The sequence below is a fragment of the Homo sapiens genome, chromosome 3, assembly GCF_000001405.40.
Source record: "Homo sapiens chromosome 3, GRCh38.p14 Primary Assembly".
NCBI lineage: Eukaryota > Metazoa > Chordata > Mammalia > Primates > Hominidae > Homo > Homo sapiens.
In genome coordinates this window covers 141198019-141206792 of record NC_000003.12, presented here as the reverse complement: position 1 = coordinate 141206792, position 8774 = coordinate 141198019, and the positions used below count along the sequence as shown (strand labels likewise).

At 43.9% G+C, this 8774-nt stretch overlaps 1 annotated feature.

Moving 5' to 3' along the window:
• Positions 1505–2015: an enhancer, noted in NCBI's record as "NANOG hESC enhancer chr3:140923620-140924130 (GRCh37/hg19 assembly coordinates)". NCBI's record gives its function as "activates a minimal SCP1, AML or CMV promoter by ChIP-STARR-seq in naive H9 embryonic stem cells {active_cell/tissue: H9 hESC(naive)}" and the evidence as "EXISTENCE:reporter gene assay evidence [ECO:0000049][PMID:30033119]".

Here is an 8774-nt window from a genome sequence, read left to right as displayed (position 1 = left end):
TAGATCCAGCCACCTTTTTAAGAGGAAATTGCTGGGCAGGTTGGGGAGGGCTAGTCACGGAACGAAACTCTAAGCCAGACCAGGTGTGAGGAGGGAAGGTGATTAAAGGATTATAGGATGGAGGAGCGGAGGCTGAGGAAGAATTGGGACCTAGCTCGGCCTGGCAAGGAGGGGAGAGGTCAGATGGGTCTGTAGAAAAGGAAGATTAGAAGGACTCAGCGACACTTGGGGTTGGGACTGAAGGGACAGGTGGGAGGGAAAGAAGGAAGATTTGGGACAAGCTGCATTGGGAACAGAGACTAGGGAGGGACTGATGTGTAAAAGAGTGCCTGGATGCCAGGCACCTCAGACCGTTTGCCTATTTTATGACAAGAATTATTTAGATCTTGTAGGATGGAAAAATTGAAAGTGCCGTTTTCTGGCTATTTGGAACCGCTGTCGAGTTTGTACTGGGGTCAAGCAGCATTGTAGAAGAAAATAAGGCATTTAGGTTTTAGGTCAGGTGTGAGTTGAAGAGGTTTTAGGTTTTTAAGAACACAGGCTAAGGGAGAAGAAGGGGGAAGAAGCTTGCCCATAGTGAAGGAGGCAAGCCCAGAGAAAAGAGAGAGTAGAGACACGGAGAGAAGGGGTGGGGGGGCTCTTGTCCTCCAGAAAAGTGGAAAAGGGGTCAGGGCACAGAAATAAGGGATCGGGGTGCAGAGATAAGAGGTTGGGGCACAGAAATAAGGGATTGGGGTGCAGAGATAAGAGGTCGGGGTGTGGAAATAAGGGATCAGGGCACAGAGATAAGAGGTTGGGGTGTGGAAATAAGGGATTGGGGGGTTCTTGCCCCCAGAAAAGCAGAGAAGGGGTAGAGACATGGAGAGAAGGGGTTGGGGGGTTCTTGCCCCCTAGAAAAGCGGTACTTGCCACTAAGGGTGAAGGAGAAGGATTTGGGGGTTTCTTGCCCCCCAGAAAAGCAGAGAAGGGGTAGAGACAGGGAGAGAAGGGGTGGGGGTCCTTGCCCCTCCCCCAGAAAAGCAGGACTTGCTGCTAAGGGTGAAGGACCAAGGCAGGTGTCCCTGCGTGGTCAGACACCTCTGAAACGTGGGTGAATAATCAGGCAGGTTTCCCCCCCATGATTAAACATCAAGGGAAGACTGTCTTCCTGAGTCTGTGACCGGCACCGGAGTTTTGGGTCCACGGATAAAACGCATCTCTCTTCATCTGTACCAGAAAAGGAAAGGAACTGAAATTAAGAGAAGGGAGAGATTGAAGGGTGGTGCCAAGATTGAAAGGAGAAAGTGGTTGAGGGATAGTGGGAGACGTTGGAGAAGAGAATAAGAAGAGGCCACTTACCTGATTTAAAATTGGTGAGATGTTCCTTGGGCTGGTGGGTCTGAGGACCCGAGGTCGTAGGTGGATCTTTTTCACAGAGCAAAAAGCAGGAGGACAGGGGATTGATCTCCCAAGGGAGGTCCCCTGATCCGAGTCACAGCACCAAATTTCGTGCTTGTCCATGTGAGGAGACCACCAAACAGGCTTTGTGTGAGCAATAAAGCTTTTAATCACCTGGGTGCAGGTGGGCTAAGTCCGAAAAGAGAGTCAGCAAAGGGAGATAGGGGTGGGGCCGTTTTATAAGATTTGGGTAGGTAAAGGAAAATTACAGTCAAAGGGGGTTGTTCTCTGGTGGGCAGGAGTGGGGGTCACAAGGTGCTCAGTAGGGGAGCTTTTGAGCCAGGATGAGCCAGAAGGAACTTCACAAGATAATGTCATCAGTTAAGGCAGGAACAGGCCATTTCCACTTCTTTTGTGGTGGAATGTCATCAGTTAAGGCAGGAACTGGCCATCTGGATGTGTACGTGCAGGTCACAGGGGATATGATGGCTTAGCTTGGGCTCAGAGGCCTGACAGACATACAGAAATCAGAAATGAGGTACAGGTACAGCTTGGTGTTTGCCTTATTTGAACAGTATGAACGCTCAGCAATGACTGAATGGTTGAAGTACAGCTGCTGGAATTGGCCAAGACTTAGCTATTGTTACAGGCACATACTCCTAAGTTAGATTTTCAATCTTGTCTACCTATTAAACTAGGCTGCAGTTCGTCCGCAAGGACTTAACTATAGGAGTACAGAATCCTTCTCAGGCCACCATATTTAGTTCACTTTAACAGCAGCTTCAGTACAGCTCTGTCACCCTCATTCCTGCTCAGTGCTGACACATCCTACCCTCCTGGGCACTTCCCTCTCACCGCCTCCCTCCTCACTGCAGGTCCTGTCCTCACCCTGGAGTCTCCAGTGCCCAGAGGCTGACCCATCCAATATCCTAGCCTCTGGGGCTGCAGACAGCCAGGGCCTTCATTTGTCTTCTGCCTCAGCCACTCACACCCACAGCCACACTGCAGACCTCCCCATTACAGAGCCCCACTCCACCAGCAGCATCTCACATCCACATGTCACACTCTCGGAACAGTCCCTCCCTCCTTCATTATCACCACACCTGTCCCTCACCCTGCTGAAGACAATTGAGAAGAAACAGATACATGGAAAGACCTCTGCCCTCTATTTATCTAAAAGTAGGAAATAGATTTGTAAAAGTGTCCCACCTCTCCTGTCTACCAGGAGGGACAGGAGTTGATCACTAGAGACAACTGTAAACCAAAAATAAAATTCTAAGCCTCGCAACCAATGAATAGACACCTCCTCTTAGCTAGGGGGAGTCCAGGGAAACCTGAAAGACTAGTTCACGCCATGATGGGAAGGTGGGGAGGTCAGACATGCCTCATTATACTCTCCTCCCTTTGGAACTCAGGCACAACTGACCATCATTAACGTGAAAACAGAGATCTTAAGAGGGAGAAAACAGACTGTTTATAGCAGTAAGTTACCAAATTCCAATCCGACTCTAGTATAGCATCACATAACAGATAGCAGGCCCTGAAAGAAATAAAAATATTTTACCCCAAAATATATTTCTTTGAGATACTCTTAAATTGCCCTGCCAAGGGAGAAATTTATATTCTGTAGAGAATCTCTTTCCCTTTCCAGGTCTTTTTCTGATCCTAAAGAAATTAGCTGAGAGTCTAGCACATTTTTAAAGGTCTGAATAGAAAACATTTGCCATCTATTGCCTCTAAGAGTGGCCACCTGTGAGACTTCATCTACATAATAAGAACCTTGGTCTCTACAAGCCCTTATTCTAGCCTGGATACTTCTTTCTATTGATTCCAGGTCTTTAGATAAAAACTTAATTCTTTCAAGCAATTGCCAATAAGAAAATCACTCCCTCACCCATTTTGAATTTTCCCACCTTTCAGGACCAAACAAATGTGTACATTACATATATTGATTGATGCCTTATGTCTCCCTAAAACATATAAAATCAAGCTGTAACCCATCCACCTTGGGCATATGTTCTCAGGACCTCCTGATGCTGTGTCACAGGTCATGGTCCTCACATTTGGATCAGAATAAATCTCTTCAGATATTTCACAAAGTTTGGCTTTTTCATCAACACAACTCTGGACCTAAAAGCCTGGAGATGGCACGAGAGGAATCTACATAATGAAACATAAGCCATGTAGGTCATAAATGATTATATTTGTAGACATTTTGGTGCCTTAATATCAGCAAGGGTTGCACAATGAGTTTCCATATGCATGAATTGCAGAGATGTGCAGAAATTCTAGTTACTTATAATATTTTGGGAAAGAAACCTGGAACAGATGCCTGCTTTAGATAATAAGAAGGCCTAATTACTTCTGAATTCCTCAGATAACGTGTTTTGCCTCTGGATAGCCTGCTTGATGGTAACCAGGTGATCTTTGCTCTCCTCAGATTATAGCAGAGACTGCCGGTTGCATTCCTGCAGCTATCCTCCCCTTTTACCTGGTAACAGATTCCTGATATTTCTAAATATGGGCAAATGGCTGTCCACAATAAAGGTATTTCCTAGCCTTCCTTGCAAGTGGTTGTGGTCATGTGACCTAGTTCTAGCCATTGAGAAGTGAAAGTGTCATGCGGGACTTCTAGGCTCCTTCAAAGAAGCTCAGTTAACTTGGAGTCACATCCTTGTCCCTCTCCCCCTTTCTCCTTTTCACCGTCTGGAATGAGGTGTAATGCCTGACTTCACTGCCATCTTGGATCACAAGAAGATTTTTAAGGATGACAGTCACATGTAGAGGAGCAAAAAGACGGGAGCAGTCTGGATCCTCGATAACTTAGTAGAGCCTCAAGATCTGCCATGGATGCTTATCTGGACTTCTTTTATGAGAGAAGAAAAACAAACAAACAAAACGGAATACCCCTGTGTGTTGGGTCTGTTACCAGGAGCTGAAATTAATCCCGATGTAACTCTCTTCCACCTGCCCAAATAAATGCATGCTCTCTCCCTGCCACAAACCTTCCTCCTCCTGCATGTCCTATCCCAGTGAAACGAACCGTTTCTCCTTCTTTGCCCATTTTTGGTTCACCTCTTGTTTAGACCAGAAACCAGGACTCTCCTTTGACTCCCTTATATCTCTTCATACCCAGTCAAAGATCAAATCTTGTCCTTCCTACCTCATGACTTTATCTCAGGGCAGTGATTCAGGTCATCAAAAACTATCACCCCATAGCCAATAGACCTCTGGGCCATGGTGTTCAGAGGCTGCTGAATGCCAGCAGCTCTCCTGGGTGCTAGATCTGGCTTGCCTTAAACAAAAAAAAGGAGGGTGTCTGGGGGCTGGATGGAGGGAGGAAGAGTCCCTAAATGGGACATGAGGCCCCAGGGTCATTCTTCTCTGCCCCACTAAGGGCCCAGCTATCTGGGGTGGTGTCACAGCCAAGGAAAGTTCCAGGCCAAATCTTAGCTTTTGTTTTTTGAATCTGCTGCAGCACTCCCTTCCTGGGGACTTCCCTGTTTTTCCCCAGAGTTACTTCCAGACATTTCTTCTTGGGGAGACTTAATTAGCAACTATAGGCTGTGTATGTGTAACACAGGTAAGGGCAATCAGGGCCCCAGGCACCCATGGGTTTAATTTTTTATCTATTGAGCACCTATTATGTGCCAGGCACTGTGCTGGCAGCCTCTGACATCCCTTCTGGGGAGAGTTTATCATGACTATTTTATAGTTGGAAACACTGAGACTCAGAGAGGTGAAATGATTTTCCCAGGGCTGCACAGCTCAAAAGGAAGGGGCCTGGGATTGTCCCTGGGTCTGATTCCAAATCGCTGCTCTTTCTCACCTCACCAATTATCCTAAACCTGTATAAACATCTCCATCACCTGCAGAGCTATTAAAAATTCTGATTCTAAGGCCAAACCCTATAGATTTGGCTTCAGTTGTTTTGGGCTAGAGCTGGGAGTTTTTGTTTTGTGTGTTTGTTTGTTTGTTTTATAAGTACCTGGGTCTCCCAGGTAATCCTGATGCTCAGCAGGTCTGGGATCAGCCCCTGCATCATGTCTGGCTGACTCCCAGTGGAAGGAGAAGCTGCCACGCCCCCTGTACAGCAGCGAGGAGGAGCTAGCTCGGTTGGCTCTGATGGGGCAACTGCAACCCTGCACAGAGTAGTAGCAGGCCCAGCAGATTCTGAGTAAAATTGCCAGGGCCAGGAGACAGACCCTTTGCTATTCCTACTCAATACTTGTTTCAGAGATTGTTGCCTTAAATTATTTGTGCATTTGACCAAATCTAGTCATTCTTTGTCCCAGCCAACCCACACAGAGAAGTCAAGTGAAGGTGCTGTATACAATATCTGCATCATGTCCCTGTTTGAATGTTTTCATGGGCTCCTCCTTATATGAGTGAAGTTCCTGGTCCCAGAGTAGCCCGACCTCCTGCTCCTGCCTTCTTCTCTCTGGCTTGTCTGCTGCAGAATTCTTCATATCCAGATTCTACTGCAGCTTAAATATTCCCTCTTCCAGGGAGCCTTGGGTGGCCTATCCCTCAGTCCTTTCTTGTCTTGCTAGAACACTTGCCATTGTCCAACCATCCATCTATACACTCATCCATCCATCCATCCATCCATCCATCCATCCATCCATCCATCTATCTACTCACCAATCCATCCACCTATACCCTTACCCATCCACCCAGCTATTCATCCATCTATCTATCCATTTACCTATCTCCCCACTTATCTGCACTTCCATCTCCTCTGCTGTGTCCTGTAAGCTTCACATTTATGTCCTAACAACACAGTAGAGGTCATTCCTTAAGGTCATAGAGTAGATCTTTTTTTTTTAACTTTTAAGTTCAGGGGTACAAGTGCATGTTGTTACATAGGTAAACTTGTGTCATGGGGTTTGTTGTACAGACTATTTCATCACCTGGGTATCAAGCCTAGTACCCATTAGTTATTTTTCCTGATCTTCTCCCTCCTCCACCCTCACCTTCTGAAAGGCCCCAGTGTGTTCTCTATGTGTCCAGATGTTCTTATCATTTAGTTCCGACTTAGGAGTGAGAAAATGCAATATTTGGTTTTATGTTCCTGTGTTAGTTTGCTAAGGATAATGGCCTCTAGTTCCATCCATGTCCCTGAAAAAGACATCATCTCTTTCTTTTTATTGCTGCAGAGTATTCCATGGTGTATATGTGCCACATTTTCTTTATCCAGTCTATCATTGATGGTCATTTAGGTTGATTCCATGCCTTTGCTATTGTGAATAGTGCTGCAGTGAACATACATGTGTATGTGTCTTTATAATAGAATGATTTATATTCCTTTGGGTATATATCCAGCAATGGGATTGCTGGGTCGAATAGTATTTCTGTCTTTAGGTCTTTGAGGAATTGTTACACTGCCTTCCACAATGGCTGAACTAATTTACACTCCCAGCAACAGTGTAGAAGTGTTCCTTTTTTTCCACAACCTCACCAACATCTGGGTTTCTTTTTTTACTTTTTAATAGTAGCCATTCTGACTGGTGTGAGATGGTACCTCATTACAGTTTTGATGTGCATTTCTCTAATGATCAGTGCTGTTGAGCTTTTTTTCATGATTATTGGCTGCATGTATGTCTTCTTTCAAAATGTGTCTGCTCATGTCATTTGCCCATTTTTTTATGGGGTTGCTTGTTTTTTTTCTTGTAAATTTGTTTAAGTTCCTTATAGACTCTGGATATTAGACCTTTGTCAGATACATAGTTTGCAAATATTTTCTCCCATTCTGTAGGTTGTCTGTTTATTCTGTTGATAGTTTCTTTTGCTGTGCAGAAGCTCTTACATTTAATTAGATCTCATTTGTCAATTTTTGCTTTTGTTGCAATTGCTTTTGGTATCTTCACCATGAAATCTTTGCCGTGCATACGGAATGGTATTGCCTATGTTGTCTTCCAGGATTTTTATAGTTTTGGGTTTTACATTTAAGTCTTTAATCAATCTTGGGTTAATTTTTGTATAAGATGTAAGGAAGGAATCCAGTTCCAATCTTCTGCAATATGGCTAGCCAGTTATACCAGCACCATTTATTGAATAGGGAATCCTTTCCCCATTGCTTGTTTTTTTCAGGTTTGTCTAAGATCAGGTAGTTGCAGGTGTGTGATCTCATTTCTGGGTTCTCTATTCTGTCCCACTGGTCTGTGTGTCTGTTTTTGTGCCAGTACCATGCTATTTTGGTTACTGAGCCCTGTAGCATAGTTTGAAGTCAGGTAGCATGATGCCTCCAGCTTTGTTCTTTTTGCTTAGAATTGCCTTGGCTATTCAGGCTCTATTTTGGTTCCATATGAATTTTAAAATAGTTTTCTCTAGTTCTGTGAAGAATGTAAATGGTAGTTTAATAAGAATAGCATTGAATCTATCAATTGCTTTGGGCAGTATAGCCATTTTAATGATGTTGATTCTTCCTATCCATGAGCATGGAATATTTTTCCATTTGTTTGTGTCCTTTCTGATTTCTTTGAGCAGTGGTTTGTGGTTCTCTTTGTAGAGACCTTTCACCTCCTTAGTTAGCTGTATTTCTAGGTATCTCTTCTTTTTGCGGCAATTGTGAATGGGAATTTTTTCCTGATTTGGCTCTCAGCTTCACTGTTGTTGGTGTATAGAAATGCTAGTGATTTTTGCACATTGATTTTGTATCCTGAGACTTTGCCGAAGTTGTTTATCAGCTTATAAACTTTTGTGCTGAGACTATGGTGTTTTCTAGATATGGAATCATGTCATCTGCAAACAGTGATAATTTGACTTCCTCTCTTCCTATTTGGATGCCATTCATTTTTTTTCTCCTGCCTGATTGCCCTGGCCAGAATTTCCAATACTACGTTGAATAGGAGTGGCAAAAGAGGGCATCCTTGTCTTCTGCCAGTTTTCAAGGAAAATGCTTCCAGCCTTCGCCCATTCAGTATGATGTTGGCTGTGGGTTTGTCATACATGGCTCTTATTATTTTGAGGTATGTTCCTTCAATACCTAGTTTATGGAGAGTTTTTAACATGAATTAATGTTGAATTTTATAAAAATCCTTTTCTGCATTCTATTGAGAAAATTATGTGCTTTTTGTCTTTGGTTCCATTTATGTAATGAATCACATTTATTGATTTGTGTATGTTGAACCAACTTTGCATCCACAGTGAAGCCTGCTTGATCATGGTGGATAAACTTTTTGATGTGCTACTGGATTTGGTTTGCCAGTATTTTGTTGAGGATTTTTGCATTGATGTTCATCTAGGATATTGGCCTAAAGTTTCCTTTTTTTGTTGTATGTCTGCCAGGTTTTGGTATCATTCTATGATGCTGGCCTCAGAATGAGTTAGGGAGAAGTCCCTCTTTCTCAATTTTTTGGAATAGCTTCAGTAGGAATGGTACTAGCTCTTCTTTG